General features: G+C 38.5%; 1 protein-coding gene across 6 annotated transcripts in view, besides 1 other annotated feature; it reads left to right on the top strand.

Annotated features, from left to right (window-relative positions):
* The window catches only part of MECOM (MDS1 and EVI1 complex locus), a 580206-nt gene that overhangs the window by 341605 nt on the left and 219709 nt on the right, over nt 1-18892 (top strand). The gene's annotated exons all lie outside the window — the stretch shown is intronic.
* Nucleotides 11589-12788: an enhancer, noted in NCBI's record as "P300/CBP strongly-dependent group 1 enhancer chr3:169027108-169028307 (GRCh37/hg19 assembly coordinates)". NCBI's record gives its function as "activates an origin of replication core promoter dependent on BRD2, BRD4, P300/CBP, MED14 and CDK7 cofactors, with strong dependence on P300/CBP, by STARR-seq in HCT116 cells {active_cell/tissue: HCT116}" and the evidence as "EXISTENCE:reporter gene assay evidence [ECO:0000049][PMID:35650434]".

Here is an 18892-nt window from a genome sequence, read left to right as displayed (position 1 = left end):
TTATAGTTCAGAAATAAATGATGGTGTTGACAAGGGGTGCCACATGTGAAGAAACCAATATTATTTTGTAAGATTATGTAAGCAAAGCTGGAGATACATGGAGAAACTGTGTGTCCTTTAATAATCCCAGCTCTGGAAGGACAGCCTCAGAAACTGGAAAAAAAATCACTTCGGTGGCTCCCTGTGTTCTTCAGAAAGAAATCCAGTTTCATTAGTTTGATATTTAATTAGGACAGCAACCATGAGTAGTGTCTTTCCTCTTTCCTTTCCAAAAATGTCTCTTCCACTGTCTTTTCTAGTGCCATGTCTCATGTTTTGGTAAAACTAATTGAACCTTGTATCTGTACTGCTGTTCATGTTTGACCTCCTCCCTTAAGTGTTAAGCAAGTCCTCCCTGACCACGCTTGTCCCACCCTCCCTCCACAAAACCACATAGGTCCACATTCCATCTCCCTGAAGAGTCACTGCCCAACTCTTCAAGGCTTTGTTTAGCTACCTTCTTTTCTGAGATACATTTTCTGATCAGATTGAACCAGTTAAACCAGATTTAAACTCTTTTTTTTTTTTGAGACGGAGTCTCGCTCTGTCACCCAGGCTGGAGTGCAGTGTTGCAATCTCAGCTCACTGCAACCTCCACCTTCCCGGGCTCAAGTGATTCTCCTGCCTCAGCCTCCCAAGTAGCTGTGAGTAAAGGCGCGTGCCACCATGCCCAGCTAATTTTGGGATTTATAGTAGAGACTGGGTTTCACTGTGTTAGCCAGGATGGTCTCAATCTCCGGACCTCGTGATCCACCTGCCTTGGCCTCCCAAAGTGCTGGGATTACAGGAGTGAGCCACCTCACCCGGCCCACTCTTTGTATTCTAACAGCACTTTTCCTATCCATTTAGCATTTCACAATTTACTTTTAATGTAGTAGTTTATATTTTTTGTCCAATAAGTTTTACTTCTTGAGCATAGACTGTACATCCTTCCAGTGTCTTAGATATGAATGTTCATGGAATTATATTAGAGTGGTGGCCTTCCTATCCTGGCATGGCTGTACTTACCAACAGGAAGCACACCAGCTTTGAAGCACAGACCCATTGCCAAATCCCCTCATGGAGACCCTGGGTTATTTTCTGGTAAGTTATTAGCCCCTCTGAGCCTCAGATTTCTCATCCAGTTACTGGCAGTTCATTTATAAAATATATTCTAGCACAGAACCTAGAAAGTAATATATGCTCACAAAAGGGCAGCTTTTTCCTATCACTCCATCAGAATTTCTTAGCTTATGTCTTCCTGTAATAATGAAGCAAAAACAAAAACACAATATAACAGTTCTCTACAGTGTTGCTCAAAATGTCAAAATAAAGATGTGGCCAATAAAAAAGAAAGAAAATACAGTTTCATTTCACTGAATTACAATATTGACTATGCTTTTCAAAATACACTTGTCCCCTATTGAAATTCTAGGACGTTTTCTTGAAAATATTATGGGTTCTTCCACTGGTGGACCATCCCATTCCCTTCCTTCTTTCCTCTTATACCATGATAATCAGTGCACTAAATTGTAAGCTCTCTGAAAACAGGGGGGTCATTGGCTTTAGATCTGTGACTAGAACCTGGGAAAGGGTTAGTCTTTAATTACCGTTTCCTCCTGACCAACTATACCTCTACTCAGATCCCTCTTTATCCTTCCTCCTCAGGGACCTTACGTCATCAATTTTTCTTTCTCTCTGTATGTCTTCAACATCACTTTGTATCCTTAGGATCACCAGACTTTCTGGCTGGCCTCAGACAGTCCCAGTTTATTCCTATTGTGTCAGCATAAGTAGCATCCTCTTTTACCCTCAAAAACATCTGGTTTGGATGACATATGTTTCTCCTAATTATATCTGACCTTAACCTTTAACCATCCAAAAGCTCAAATTCTCCCATCCTAAAAAGACCTAACAGGCACATACATTCTAAAATCCGCATCCAATCCCTTATTTTTCTCTCCTTCCCTTCATCGTCACACGTCTTAAAAGGATTGTCTACATCCATTTCTCCATTTCTTTATCTACTATTATTTCTCTAGACAATCGTCTTATCTCTACTACTCTTCTGAAATTGCTCTGGGCAAAGTCACCGTACGACCTCTTGTTAAATCCTTTGAACATGTGAAGGGGTCTGGTTAGGTGATTTACAAGCTCCTTCTCCACCTCTAATAAGATGCTATACATTTGAAATATTTCTTGACTCTCATCTTGTTAACCAAGACAGTTAACTGGTTGAGGTTCTATCACCCATGTGTCCACAGTCATGTTATACCTTATCTCATTTAGTTCACACAACAACCCTCTGAAGTAGGTATCATTTCCCCACTTTACACATAGGGCAGAAGAGAGATTGATAACTTTCCCACTTTCTCACAGCTACTGATGATGGAGCTAAGACTCTCATTTCCAAAATAAACTCTGTTATTTTTCCATTACACAATTCTCTCTTCTTCCCAACCGTTAACATCTGTTTCCATATGACCAATTCATTATAGACACTAAAGAGTGGTGTGCTGATTTTTTTTTTATTATACTTTAAGTTCTAGGATACATGTGCAGAATGTGCAGGTTTACACATGCCATGGTGGTTTGCTGCACCCATCAACCCGTCATCTATATTAGGTATTTCTCCTAATGTTATCCCTCCCCTACCCCCCACCCCCTGACAGGCCCCAGTGTGTGGTGTTCCCTTCCCCATGTCCATGTGTTCTCATTGTTCAACTCCCTCTTACGAGTGAGAACATGCAGTGTTTGGTTTTCTGTTCCTGTGTTAGTTTGCTGAGAATAATGGTTTCCAGTTTCATCCATGTCCCCGCAAAGGACATGAACTCATCCTTTTTATGGCTGCATAGTATTGCATGGTGTATATGTACCACATTTTCTTTATCCAGTCGATCACTGATGGGCATTTGGGTTGTTTCCAAGTGTTTGCTATTGTGAATAGTGCTGCAATAAACATACATGTGCATGTGTCTTTTTTTTTTTTTTTTAGACAGAGTCTCACTCTGTCACCCAGGCTGGAGGGCAGTGGTGCGATCTTGGCTCACTGCAACCTCTGCCTCCTAGGTTCAAGGGATTCTCCTGCCTCACCTCCCGAGTAGCTGGGATTACAGGCACCCACCACCATGCCCAGCTAATTTTTGTATTTTTAATAGCGACGAGGTTTCACCATGTTGGCCAGGCTGGTCTCGAACTCCTGACCTCAGGTGATCCACCTGCCTAGGCCTCTCAAAGTGCTGGGATTACAGACATGAGCCATTGTGCCCAGCCCTGCATGTGTCTTTATAGTAGAATGATTTATAATCCTTTGGGTATATACCCAGTAATGGGATTGCTGGGTCAAATGGTATTTCTGGTTTTAGATCCTGGAGGAATCGCCATACTGTCTTCCACAATGGTTGAACTAATTTACACTGCCATCAACAGTGTAAAAGCATTCCTATTTATCCACATCCTCTCCAGCATCTGTCGTTTCCTGACTTCTTAATGATCGCCATTCTAACTGGCATGAGATGGTATCTCATTGTGGTTTTGATTTACATTTCCCTAATGACCAGTGATGTTGAGCTTCTTTTAATATATTTGTTGGTCACATAAATGTCTTCTTTTGAGAAGTGTCTGTTCATATCCTTCACCCACTTTTTGATGGGGTTGTTTGTTTTTTTCTTGTAAATTTAAGTTCCTTGTAGATTCTGGATATTAGCCCTTTGTCAGATGGATAGTTTGCAAAAATTTTCTCCCATTCTGTAGGTTGCCTGTTCACTCTGATGGTAGTTTCTTTTGCTGTGCAGAAGCTCTTTAGTTTAATTAGATCCTATTTATGTATTTCGGCTTTTGTGGCCATTGCTTTTGGTGTTTTAGTCATGAAGTCTTTGCCCATCCCTGTGTCCTGAATGGTATTGCCTAGGCTTTCTTCTAGGGTTTTTATGGTTTTAGGTCTTACATTTAAGTCTTTAATCCATCTTGAGTTAATCTTTGTGTAAGGTGTAAGGAAGGAGTCCAGTTTGTTTTCTACATGTGGCTTGCCAGTTTTCCCAGCACCATTTATTAAATAGGGAATCCTTCCCTATTGCTTGTTTTTGTCAGGTTTGTCAAAGATCAGATGGTTGTAGCTGTGTGGCGTTATTTCTGAGGCCCCTGTTCTGTTCCATTGGTCTACATATCTGTTTTGGTACCAGTACCATGCTGTTTTGGTTACTGTAGCCTTGTAGTATAGTTTGAAGCCAGGTAGCATGATGCCTCCAGCTTTGTTCTTTTTGCTTAGGATTGTCTTGGCTATACGGGCTCTTTTTTGCTTCCACATGACATTTAAAGCATTTTCTTCTAATTCTGTGAAGAAAGTCAATGGTAGCTCATATTTTTAAATTGTGTAGGTTCTAAAAATTAGACCCACTAAGCATTAGTCACTGTCCTAGGAGTGGTGACAGTTGTGGATATTTAAACCAGAGATAAGGGAAGTAGCTGTTGCTATGTAAGTAGTGAGTTTCTGGATTTCAGTAAAATAAACCAGGATTTCGTTTCTTGAAGTAATTATACTCTGGAGAGAGGAAAGAAGGATGGAGACAATTATGAATGACCTTACATCTCTGAGCTGTTGAGAACTTCTGGATCAGTGGCTGATGTTTTCATAGCCTTTTCAAGTGAAACCTTTCAGTGAAGTCTCAAGCCACAGACCACCAGTTGACAAAAGGATTTTTTTTTCAAGGATATTAACCATAACTTGAGTATCATATAATGATTGTCATATTAAAGAAAAAAACCTCCAGCCACATTTTTAAAGCTATTTAACCTTTCTGAAAACTCAGAGTTTTGAAACTTTTTAGTATCATTCAATTCGTTTTGAGTGTTATCATTTCAGTGATTTGTTTAACTTTAATGTAAGAATTGGCAAGGAGTTTCTATAAAACAAATACAACTCGTATAACAACTCTAAGCCAGTAATATTGCTGATACCACTGAAACCCTTATCCCTGGACTTAATTGCTCTGAGGACCGTAATAAGTGAAGAAAACTGTTGAATAAACTCTTTGTAAGGTCCCTCACGCTGGGAAATAGTTAAGTCCATTTCTTATCTCTGGAATCATGCCCTTTTTGATCTAATTTACCAAGTATTGTGATTGCCAATATAATGAGAATTCTAAGATAGACAGATGTAAATGAGGAATAATGGGCAGGATTTTTCTTTTAACTAATGACACACAGTAATGAAACTTGATTAAAAGTATATGTCTTTTGGCCGGGCGCAGTGGCTCATGCCTATAATCCCTGCAATTTGGGAGGCCAAGGCACGCAGATCACTTGAGCTTAGGAGTTCAAGACCAGCCTGGGCAGCATGGCAAAGCTCTGTCTCCACAAAAAATACAAAAATTAGTGAGATGTGGTGGCACATGCCTATAATTCCCAACTACTTGGGAGGCTGAGGTGGGAGGATCATCTGAGCCTGGGGAGGTCGAGGCTGCCATGAGCCATGATCATGCTACTGCACTCCAGTCTGGGTGACAGAATGAGACCCTGTCTTAAAAAAAGTATATTTTCTTAAAGTGACAAATGTTTGACATATGTGAATGCATATGAGATCTCCTCTCTGTGGGACATTTGTGCCCCTTATCTCATTTTACATAGCCATAGACACAATATAAAATCATCAAACTTTGTTGATATGACTGCCTCACCCTCAAATGCATCCTGAGAAATTTAAAATAGTTTTATAATGAAACTGTTTAGTATCTGGGTATTTTTGGCAAGCAGTTTATAGATACTGTTCTTTTATTTAAGGCCACCACCTTTTAACAAGATGTGAGAGGGTGTTTTAATTCTTCTGCGTTGTTTCTGAGCTGTGTGTTTATTTGGCAACTTCATTCTTTGAGTTGTCGAAAGAACAGAAGTTTGTAAATTATACAACACTAAACAGTGGATGCCATCCATGGCTTTTAGCCCAGGCCCTGTCAAATGGTTTTCTATTTTCTGTCCTGGCCTTAAACATTATTGTGAATTACAGAAGCATTAGTATTCATCAATTTAAATCTATTGTTTTTTAATTAGTTTCTAAAACTCTAATTTTAATTAAGAAAGCACAGGCTCTTGTTGAATATGTTGGTAAAATAATTATTGACCAAAGAACAAATAACTTTATTGTTAAATATTTAGGCTCATATTTGACTTTACCTGTGTTAGGCAATTTTTTTTATGTTATGGGGCTATGCCTTTATATAGCATCTAGCAATGAAATATATCTATGTCATTACATTGGTGACATTACACCAATGTTGTATAATTTTGGTTAACTGGTAACATTCATGGAATAGATATATGCCATCGCTAGATGATATTTGATTCCTTTGTTATTACAAAGGAATACAGGAATTGCAAACTGGTTTTAATCTGGCGCTCTTTGGGTTCAGTGACAATGTGTTGAGATCCCATGGTACTGATTACTATTGAGGCTGGAGGGAACTGTGGTAGTATATGGCCATGAATTTATTATTCTTGTTACATACACTCCCAGAAAATGCTGTCCAAAGACCTAACATGCAAAGACACAAAGCTGTTAACTTTTTAATAACTTTTCTTCCAGTCACCAGTAAGATGGTTGAATTTGTCTCTTTCCCATCCTCTTTGCTGCTAAAGAAGGAGGCCAAACATCTCTAGAAAAGGTCTCGGTCTGTGTACTTTGATTCTCAACTCATGAGCACAACTGTATTTTACAAAGAATAAACAGATATATCCGAATGAAGTGTGAAAAGAGCCAAACAGGACAGTGTGAGACTTGGATGAGTGTCTGGGTCCCATCTGTTTCACATTTAGGTTCCTAGGGTCAAGGACTACAGGGCTGATTTTGGTGGCTCCCCTGCCGCCCTTCTCAGTTGCCCTCTGGACTTGGCCTGGGAGGATGGGAGATGTGGGAAAGCCCTGTCAGCTGGCTCAGAACCCACCCTATTCTGCAGGCATATCTGGATTGCAAAAGCAGCGTGGGTGGCACTGGGTCTGAGGATCAACAATCTCACTCACTCTGTGTCTTGGAAAGTTACTCAGGGCCTCAATTTCCCCATCTGTAAAGTGAGGATAATAGTAGCTGTTAAGAGGAATTGAAGGCATGGGAACTACACAGGGCCCTGCACAGTGTTTTCCACATAGTAGTTACTTAACAAATGTGCCTGTTGTTGATCTTCATAAATATTCATAAATATTCAGGAGAATAAGGGATAACTATAAATATTCCAGAATCCTCCAGCTTCCTCATAGAAATTTCTAAACTTCCCTTAGCACTTTTTAAGTAAGAATATCGTTGCCCTAAAATTAATATCCCTTTCCTATATTCTTCTTTTTGCCTTTTCCTCTCTATCAGTTTCTGCGGCCAATGCTTGCTTTTTTTTCTCCCCATTTACTCTTCCCTAGTTCCCCTTCTGTCTCTGTTTTATTCTCTTCTTTCTTTTCCCTTTTCTTCTCTTTCCCACTTTCATTCTTGGGCATCTTTTATTGTCCTCTCTTCATTCTCTTCTTATTTCTTCTTCTCATACTTTTCTATCAAAAGGTAGTTGTGAGAATTACTAAGACAATGAAAATCAGTGTAAAAATTGGAAAGTTATTTTAACTAATTAAACACTAATTTTAGTTAGCAGGTGACATTGATGGTGTTACATTGGAGCAGAACATGGACTAAGCAGAGACTGTGAACTATGCACGTGCTATAAATCCCCTTTCCTCTTAACTCATTCCATCTTTAGAGATAAATGATCATGGATGACTGATGTTTGAGTTCATTTATTTGTTCATCTATAAAGAAGTGCTAAGTATGTGCCAGGCATTGTGCAGCAATTTTGGAGGAAGACAGTTACTATGCCATATGGTCAATTCATTCTTGATCCATCGTAGGAAGTGGTCAGTGAAGTAATTGTGGAATTAATGGCCAAAGAAGAGAAATGGCTGAATGGAGCTGACCTTGTGAAGAAGACAAGGAAGGAGGAAGCTCTGGATGTTCTAGCAAAGTGTAGCTAATTGTGTACAGCAGATCATACAGTATGAGAAGTCAGAAATAAGATGGGACTGGGTCCATAAGGAACCTTACATTCTGAATTTGTTGTTAGGTTAGGATGTGGTAGCATATAGATTCCAAAAGTTCTGTGACTTGATAAAATGGAAGTCTGTTTCTTGATCAGTGTTTGGTCCTGTCAGTTGTCCCGGTTCAGTTGTCTTAACTAGTTAGCCATAGTCCATCACTTGTGAATACTCTTTGCTTATATCCTTACCTCTCTTACTTCTCAACTGGCCATTCCCAAGCTCTAGTTTGATCTGATTCTCCACCTACTCTTCCTCTGCACCTCTCTTAAAGAACCATTTTATACCTTCTTCTATTTACCTTAACCTCTATACCTTTTCCCCTCTTCACTGTCAGCTGATAATAACCATATCTGTTATTTCACTGAGGAGCTAGACTAAGATGAAAATATCTACATGCCACATCACCAAATCAACCAAGCCTCCTGTATCTGTCCCCTCTTATTCTGCCTTTCCTTCTGTCACTCTGTCCTTGGTGTCCTTGCTCTAGTGTAAGGTGAATTTCCTTCCATGTACATGGGATCCCATTCTCTCTCACCTCCTGCAGACATCCTTCAGCTATTCTGCCCTCTCTCTGTAGTATCATCTGATTTTCTCTCCCGCTAGATATTTCCATTAGTGTATGAACACACTGTGCTATCTTCCATCCTCAAAAACAAATCTCACTAGACCCTACTTACCACTCCAGCTATTGCATTATTTTTCTCCTCCTCTTTAGAGCAAAACACTGCAATTTACACTTTCTCTTTTTTTCCCAACCTCATCTCACATCATCAAAGAGATTCTCTTTTTAGGGCCATCAGTTACTGTCATGTTGCCAAATCCAATGGCCAATCCTCAGGCCTCATTCTATACTATTTACTTTTACACTTTGACTCAGTTATTCATTTCTTTCTTTCTTTCTTTTTTGAAAAACTCTAGTTGCTTGAGTTCTTGCAAACCATTTACTTTTGATTCTCTTCTTATTTCACTGGTTGTCTCAACTTGCTTTTGTGGTTACTTGTCCTCTTTTCACCCTTTAAGTATTGGAGCACCCAGATGCTCAGTACTTAGATCTTTTCACATCTCTCTTCATGCTCATTCTCCAGGGCAGTGTTTCTTTCCAATGTCGCAGTTTCAAATGCCAGCCCTACTTGGATGACTCCTAAATTTATATCTCTATCCCAGATCTCTCCCTTTAATTCCACGTTTGGAGATCCAACTACCAGCTGACATCCCCACATGGATGACTAACAGGCATCTCAATATTAACATGTCAAGAACTGAACTTTTGGTTTTTCCTCTCTCCCCAGACCTGCTCCTCCTAGTGTCCTCCTTATTCTATTAGGTGCTCAGGTAAAAAAAAATTGGAGTTGGCCAGGCACGGCGGCTCACGCCTGTAATCCCGGCACTTTGGGAGGCCGAGGCGGGCGGATCACGAGGTCAGGAGATCGAGACCATCCTGGCTAATCCTGTCTAACACGGTGAAACCCCGTCTCTATTAAAAATACAAAAAATTAGCCGGGCATGGTGGCGGGCACCTGTGGTCCCAGCTACTCGGGAGGCTGAGGCAGGAGAATGGCGTGAACCCTGGAGGCGGAGCTTGCAGTGAGCCGAGATCGCGCCACTGCACTCCAGCCTGGGCGACAGAGTGAGGCTCCAACTCAAAAAAAAAAAAAAAAAAAAATTGCAGTCATTCTTGCCTCTTCTCATTCTGTCACATCTACATCAAATTAATCATCAAATCACATCAATTTATTTATTAAAAATATAGTTGTCATCTGCTTCTTGTCAATCGCACTACCCTGGTCAACATCACCATCATCTCTTGCCAAATGAAGGCAGTGTATACTATACTTGGTTGGTCTCCTTGCTTCACCCTTTGTTGTGCCATAATCTGTTCTCCACATTGCAACCAAGGTGACTGATTAAAAACATAAGTTAGTTCCAGACTCTCTAGTGGCGTCCCAACTCAGAGTCAAATGCAAAGTTCCTACCGTGCTCACAAAGCCCCGCGTGGTCTGGGCCCAGCTCCTCTCTGACCTCATCTCCTACCACCTACTCCTGTGTAATCACCACAGTGGCCACCTTGCTTCTCAAACACTCCAAATAGTCCCTACATCTAGGCCTTTGGGTTATTATTTTTTAAAATGTGAACATTGCATCTTAAACCACGGTATCAACTTTTTTTTGAATCACAGGCTTTTTCCTCCTCATTTCTGGCCACCTGCAGAATTCATGAAGAAGGTCATGAGCTTGTCTTTTAGTAAAGTATTTCTAAGAGGATATTGCTCTCCATCCTTGTCCAGTTCCCATTTTAAAAATTTAGAGAAAGGTAATTTTTGAAAAACAAAAGTACAAAAAAAAAAGAGTAAAATGTAAAAGAAACACTTTTTTTCTTTAAGGCTTTTGACTTGATCAAAAAGACCAGGAACCAGATGAAGCCATTTCCTGTATTATGTAAACTGTGTCTAAAGAAGAAATATGCTTGCACTGTACAGGAAAGCATGGTATTGTTTCTAGTGCCATTTGACATTTCTTGCACTATAAAGCAATTGATATGTGCACTACAAGCTAATCATTTGGGGAAGTGTTTTTGATTTTGCTTAGATAGGTATATCATTCAAATTTTAAGACAGTTATTCAAAATTAGGGTGTTTTCAGCTATTTGTTTATTTTGAGAGAAAGTCCCATTTAAAGAAAGTATTATTGTAGTTGGCTATTTTGAACTATCCATGGTCTTTGTATAAACTTACCAAGTTTTTTTTCTCTTATTGTATCACAGTGCAAGCCTTATTATTCATTTTCCTGATAAATATTTTCCTTTCCTAAGGCAAAGCTGGAAATTTACTTGTACCAACTGACATAATTGAATATAGTTATTATCCGGTGCTCAAAGCTCTCTGATGTGCTAGACATGCCCAAGAACTCAATACTGTGACCTTTTTTAAGAGTCATTGTGAAGAACAGCATTAGAGCATGATATAACTGCCACAGCCATGGTTAGCAAAAATGTAATACCTGTTTTCCCACGGCTTTCATGTTTGGATATTACTGTATCTTCTTAATCAGATGTCTCCCTTTGTAATTTAATTTATCATTTAGTTGGTAATTTTGTTGTGTCTACTGCATGCAGGACCCTGGGATAGAGGCTGCAGGTCATGTAAAGAAGCATAGGCTGTGAACCTACTCTCAAGCAGTCTAAAATCCTTTTAAGAAGACAAGCTGTGAGAAAGAACACAGCTATGTCTGTTAGGAAGAAAAAGAGAAGTACTTAAGATTTAAAAGGAGAACAGGTCATCGCATGTGTGCATGTGTGTGTGGTGTGCACATCATAACTAATTAATGCTGAGGAGACTGTAGATCAGTCAATTATTAACTGATTATGGAAAAGGCATTGAAACAAATACAGAAGAGCCAAATAATTGTTAGTGTAGGTTTCTGAACGAGAGTGACAGCAATAGATACACACGCCAAAATCAAAGCAAACAACCAAAACCTTGCTAGGCAATTCTCTAGGAAATCACTAAACAGCATCATAATGACTTTCCAGAATTAATGGGACTTTCCAAAATGCCTATGATAATTTGAAAGATTAACCTGTTTGATGACACAATTTGCTATAAAACTATTAGGTTGAGACACATGGAATAGCCACTTTGTGAGTCATAAAGGACTGAGTATCAGCGATTTCATAAGATCAATTGAATATAAGTGATCTGAAGAAGGCAGAGACTGTGTGTTTTTACTTTATACCTCAGGCCTAACACATGAATCACATATAATAGGTGCTCAGCGCATGTTTATGGACTGGATGTTGAATGTGTACGAATATGTGAAATGTGAAAAAGAATTATGGATTTTTTCTAATTGGGAAAAAATGTCTTTAATCTTATAAAGACACAATGTTATTGGAAAAAATTGCAAAATGGCTCAAGGGAATTGTGTGCTTTGGTTACTTTTAGTAGTTACAGAGAGTTAAGGAACACTGGGTATTAACAGTCTGTCAATGAACAGAAAATGGGAAAAGGGTCCAAGGCCACACTTGTCCTGCATTTAAATGGCCTCTTCCCCGGTCCTGATGTGTGCTGTGCTGGAATGTTTGGTTTTGCCCGTGGTGATCACAATAGCTGCTTCTAAGGCACTTCATAGCATCACACATCCTGACAGGGTCTGCAGACATCATCCAGCCCACACTCTCGCTTTACAGGTGAGGAAACTGAGGCTCAAGGTGGCGACATGAGTTTGCCTTAGTGCTGTCATGTGGTAGCACAACGGGAAGCAAGACTCAAGTTCCTGACTCTCCAGTTAGTGCTTTATCTCTTACACCGTGATGCTTCAACAAGAATTACCCCAAACTGTGATATGGGTGGTTATATGAGCTTAAGATAAGAGTTGAGGCAGATATGGAAATAAAGCCTATTCCAGATATGGAAATAAAGCCATTTCCAGGAAATGAGAGTATTTGTAATGAAAAGCTGTAAAAATCCTAATAATAAAGAGAAGATATGTTTCCTTTTAAGGTTACATCCCACAGCTTTCTGTTTCCCTCTATATGTAATTGTCATTGATTTCCAGATGAAGTTAGTTTTTGGAAGAAAGGACTGAAAAAGAAAATGGGTGTATGATGATATCAGAAGTTTATGCCTGGTTGTGAATATTATTCATATATCTTGAATGAGTTTATTCAATTCTCTGATAATTTTTATAAGATAAAAATATGCAAATATACATTTGCATACTCACATGGACTTCTGAGATTATTTTACCATTTTTTAAATTTAAACTTGCATATGTCATAGAAACCATTTAGGTTTTTTTGTCAAAAGAATGTACTGCTGCTTTGTTTAAAATAGTGTTACTCAGAATTCCTTTCATATCCTTTTTTCTTTTAGATCTTGCATGTTTATAGAGTCCGGTTTCAGGGGAATTCCTTTGGTAGTCTTCATTGAACGTCAGCAAAATATATTATTTTTGGCTTCTGTCCTGATTAACCCAGACGTTTTAATGTGTGTTATGATGGGTTATATGATGGATAGTCACCTGTACCCTGTGATCAGCTAAAACTTGGCCACTTGAGTTAAACCTTAGTGGTGGAATGTCATAATTTCCCATCTTTTGTTTGATTAATACTTCCTTTTGATATCTGAAAGGGAAATGTCTGGAAGTGTCCATCGATGTACAGTCACACTCAGGATGAGAAGGAAGACGTGTCTTTTATGGGGAGAGAATTCAGTTGATCATAACAAGCTCACTCAGGGCAAAGCATCAGACACTCCCTTTTTTAAAAAGGAAAGAAGAAATAAACAGTTTGCTCACCCTTAAAAGTGTTTTTTTCCTAAAATTTTGTTGAGTTAAATACCTTTATTTGGATAAAAAATAATAGCATGTGCAAGAGAATGAACAAAATTCTTAAGTGACGATTGACAAATAAATTTTGTTACAATGCATGAAGTTATATGCAGTGGCTTTAAATTTATAAATATATTGTTGTAAGATGTCACATCAAAATATGTAATTCTTATTTGCCCTTTATTTTTGAACAGTAGATAGAATATTTATTATGCCTAGAGCAGCCCTTGTGTACAAAACCATGACATTCTTTAACACATAGAATTATTTAAGAACATTACCTTCTCACTTTTTTGGAGAGAGGGAGTTCCTTATAACTCCCAATTTATATAATATGTCTCACTGTATCTGTAAATACCAATATTCAGGAAATGCTTAATTACATTCCCAATGTTTACATAGATAGTGTTAATTGATTCACTTTAGTGAATATTTATTGAGCACCTTCTCTAAGTAACTTGGTGTACCAGCAGCACAATAGTAAAATACATAGGCCCAGCACTTGCTCTCCTGGAGTTTATCATCTAGTAAAAGAGACAATTAGGGAACAAGTCAACACATTTACGTATAATTACAACTTGTAATCAGTTTGCTAAATAAGTAGTGAAGGAGAATCTACCTTGCTGTGAAATGGCAGTGAGGGAGGGGACCAGGAGAATATAGAAGAAAGGGGAAGAGTAACCTAACTAAAGTAAATAGTGTGGGTAAATACTTGAATCAGGAAATAATTTGGTTAATTCATGAGACCAAAGAAAGCGAGAGGAGTAGAACACCATGAGTAGGGAGAAGAGTGAAAGGAAATGAGAGTGGAGAAGTAGCAGGATCTGGCCCAGGTAGCCTCAGTGGCCAGGATAAGATGTTTGGGTCGTATTCAAATTGCTATGGAGCATCAGAAACTAGGAGCAGTGGTTCCCTATAGGAGTGGGAGGGAACTAGGTAGATGGGAAACAAGGATGGTAGGGAGGCTTTTCACTGTTTATCTTTTTATACTATTTGTTTATTTAGAAACATTTGAATGTGTTACCTATTAATAGCTTTAAATTTTAAAAATTTAACAGGAGGCCATTTACACTTATAAGTAAGGATGTATCTTAACATGATGCTGCATTTATTTTTATTTATTTATTCTTTTGAGATGAGGCCTTGCCCTGTTGCTCAGATGGGAGTGCAGTGGCATGATCATGGCTTGCTGCAGTGTTGACCTTCTGGGCTCAAGCAATCCTCTCAGCCTCCCAAGTAGCCGGGACCACAGGCACATGCCACCACACCCAGCTAATTTTTGGTAGAGGCAGAGTCTCACCTTATTGTTCAGGCTGGTCTCAAATTCCTGGGTTCAAGTGATCCTTCCACCTCAGTACTGGGATTACAATGATTCTGTTTTTAAATGATTATTTTGGCGTTTGTGTGGAGAAGCTATTGAAGGGGGCAATTCTAGGGAGGTGATGATGCAGCTGTAACTAGAGTGATGGTAATAGATTGCAAAGGGGATTATTAAAGGTTTATTTGGAGGGAGAAAGAAAGTCTAAGAATTATTGATGTTAGGAGTAAAGGAGTGTGAGGGAAACTAGGGTAATTGTTTGATCAATGGAACCATGCCCAATGATATGAAATATCAAGAGAGAAACCAGTTTGGAATGGATAAATCTGAAATTTTGTTTTACAAATGGTAAACTTGGCATGGCTGTTAAATCCCAAATGTTGGCATCAAGTGGACAGTTGGATATGTGAGACTGCACCTAAGGAAGTGGTCTGGGTTGGAGATAAGAGTTTGGGAGTCATCAACTTCCATATGATATTTAAAGCTGTGATAGTGGAAGGGACCCCCTGTGGGGTAAGGAGGAGAAGAAGGCAGAAGACTGAGCCCTAGGCCTTGCCCACACTTTGAGAAGGAGAAAGAAGAAACCCTTTAGGATGACAGACATATACAGCCATAGCAGCAGGAGAAAAACCAGGACAGTGAGGTGTCTCAGAGTCTGTGCATGTTTCAAGAAGGATGAAAATCCAGGGGGCTCTTGTTCTAGTCTGGATTTTTGCTCTTGTCACCCAGGCTGGAGTGCAATGGCATGATCTCTGCTCACTGCAACCTCTGTCTCTCAGGTTCAAGTGATTCTCCTGCCTCAGCCTTTGAGTAGCTGGGATTACAGGTGCCCACCACCACGTCCAGCTAATTTTTGTATTTTTTGTAGAGACAGGGTTTCCCCACATTGGCCAGGCTGGCCTCAAACTCCTGACCTCAGGTGATCCGTAAACCTTGGCCTCCCAAAGTGCTGGGATTACAGGAGTGAGCCACTGAGCCCAGCTGTGGATTCTGCCACTTCTTTCTATTTTATATGTCATCTAATTTCTTGGAAGTTTTCATTTTTCATCTGCTGAATGGGATGAATATGTCTTATCTATCACACAGGCTTGAGATGAGCAATGTTGAGAATATCAGTTGAATTAATATTTTCTTAGTATATATTAATTAATAAAAATCTATTGAACTTATTGCATAATATTCAGCTATAATTATACAAAGGAAGATAATCATGAATTTTTTATTACCTCGATAATGCTTTACTTTAAACACCTGTGCATGAGTGTCATAAAAGATATTTAAATCAGAATTATATTACAAAGTAATATTGAATTAATATGTTTACTTGAAAGGAACAGAGCGGTAACAATGTACCTAGATATACTTATAAAAGGAAAATCTTTAACCAAACTAGAGAATATTGAAATCAAAATATGTTTTTCTATATTATCTTTGTTAACAACTAATGTGTGTCTAGGTGGAGAGACATTCCCAATAACTGCCATTGTTACAGGGTTAAAAAACTGAGTTGAAGTAAGTCATTGGGAAGGGGAAAAAAAAAAACCTTTACACAACTTTGTTAAAGCTAGAACAAAGAGTCCATGGAAAGCACCAGGTGTGACATACAAAAGATAAGGAACAAACTCTTCTGTGTACATATCACTCTTAGATTATTTAATGACTTGAAAGATGACCTCCACTGAAAGGTGTGGCATGAAAGTGAGCATGAAACAGAACACTAATCATATATTTCAGCAACTCTGATTTCCAGTGGGCTGGGCCTTGGTGCTGACAGTCAACGTGTCCATTGTAAGACAGGTTTATTTCTTGCATAAGTTTACCATTATCTTGGAAGCCCTGGTTACTGGCAAGGCACTCTCTGCCTGCCGCCCTCCATGTTTGTTCTTTTTTTCTGCTACTTTGGAACTTAGATATCTGGTCTGATTTCTAAAGTGCTTTGGGCTTCCTTGTGTTGGGATTTTTTTTCCAGCCCCCACAATTAGGCAATCATTTATTAGTCCTTGTCTCGTAATTGAGATGCACATTATCATTCTCCTTGGCTTCTGTGATGACTTGTTACACCTACCTTTTCCACCTCCTTATATCATGAGATTAAAGCACTCAGTGAGCTCAAGTAACATAATAAAATCTGGAATTAATTAACTTCACTGAATATGATTATATTATGAATTAAGTAGCTCCTTCTCAGAGTGTACTGTAACTACCACAATAAATAAACCTATAAAAATGCGGTTTTCAGGGGGTTTAATTTTCAAAAGAGCCTTCACTAATTCTATTAATATTTATTGAGTCCTATCAGTACCTATTGTATCTAACCTCATTTATTCTGATTAGAAATGTCTTGCCTTTCACAGTAGTGTAAATTTACTGGTGAAAGAATAAAGAAATCTTAAGCTACCCTTTCAAAGATCTTATCGTTACAAATGTTTTTTGAGTATCAGCTATGAGCCAGGAACCCTAGCACAGTGCCTTGCACGTAGGAGGGACTCAGCACAAGCTTCAGGAGAGAAATTGAGTGGAAAGAGAGATATCTAATTATAAAAACTAACTCTAAGATGGCATTTTAAGAGACAAAACAGAGGAAGTTAAAAAGATATAGGAACAGGAAAAAAGTACACCAAAGTTATATTTATAATCAGCAAACTAATGAAAGGCTTTCTTAATTATTTTGTTCTTAATACTATGGTAACAATGTTTTCAAAGTTGTCGGAATTTTCAGGTTATTGATTGAGGTGATAGGAAATATTCTATTTAATGTTGCTTTAGCTAGACTGCCATTTTATCTTCTGTGTAGCTCAGTAATACTTATTTTTAAAATATAAGGAAAGCACTTCAACTTCTGAATGGTCCAGCAGCTTATAAATGTGGCCTAGGGTCCAAGAATGGTGTGTTTCATCACCATTCACATTAGATCCTTTAAATTAAATTTATATTTTTATACATTTTATTACTTGTCAATTGGCTCCAACCAGAGGTCAATAAGGTTGAAAGAACAGGAACTGAGGATACATAAAAAACTTTTAGGTGTATTGATTTGGCTGAATTATTCTCATGGGAACAAAATACAAAGTAAGTCAACACTAAAATTAATTTTTTATATTAATTCACCAGCTGAACAGATGATGTATAGAAGTGCGTGGAAATAGCTTCACTTTGACATTTATTTTAAAATATCAAGGCTGTCATTACATGCACAGCTGGATTAACTATTAAAAGTATTTTCTGAGCCCAAAACTATACTGATAATTTGATTCAATTGATTCATTGGAAGTGAGAAGATTGGAAAATTCCTCCAGAACCCATCTCTCATGCATGAGGGGTGATGAAATTGCTTCCCTTGAGCAAACACAAAAGCAGCTTCATTGCTTTGTAGTCACTTGGACTTAAAATTCATATTTTTTGAAAGCAACCACATTTCTTGCAGCTATTCACAGGAGTTCTCATGACCCTCTCTGATAACCAGCAGTGTCTGATCTCATTGTTTAGAAGCTCATCCTTTTCTTCCTGAGAAGGAACTGTTTATTTGGCATTAGGCCAATATAGCCAAAGGAAAGAAGATAAACTAAAAACCAAACCAATAAACAAAGTCATTTAGTGATTTGAGACAGTGAGGGAAAATGGCAGAGAGGTGCATAAAGCTTCCAATTCACTGGATTTATGGTATTGGAAACAGGATTTGGCTTTTTGAGTATTTGAAAAAATAAAGGGTTAGACAAAATCAGGATTGGATACTCACAACTTTGGGGCTGCTTCTGGTTGATACAGTTTTCAGAAGAGAAAGAAATTGAGTTTGAATGCCTTAAGTGGACTGTGTGGTTTGTTTCACATGGATTTCACCACTCCCTGTTATCTTACACTTGAGTGTTCACATCTTTACACTACCGCTTAAGGTCCCAGATATTGCAACGTCTGTTATGAATGACTTCTAACATGTCTTCCACCTCCACTGTTTTATGAATCTTTAGGTCAGGCACAGAGTTGGCATTTAGTAAACATATATTGAATAAATGAATGAATAGTAGTGTGATATATATATATATATCTGTTTCAAGTTGGGTTAGCCATGAATTCCATGAGTGAAATTTTCTGAAAATGCCATCAATGTGTGTCATTACATGGAGAGGAAAGAATGGCAAGGAACTTTCTTGTTTTGTGGGAAGGGGGAAG

This window comes from Homo sapiens, chromosome 3 (assembly GCF_000001405.40).
Source record: "Homo sapiens chromosome 3, GRCh38.p14 Primary Assembly".
NCBI lineage: Eukaryota > Metazoa > Chordata > Mammalia > Primates > Hominidae > Homo > Homo sapiens.
Note: the sequence above shows the minus strand (reverse complement) of the source record. Positions and strands in the feature narration are given on the sequence as shown.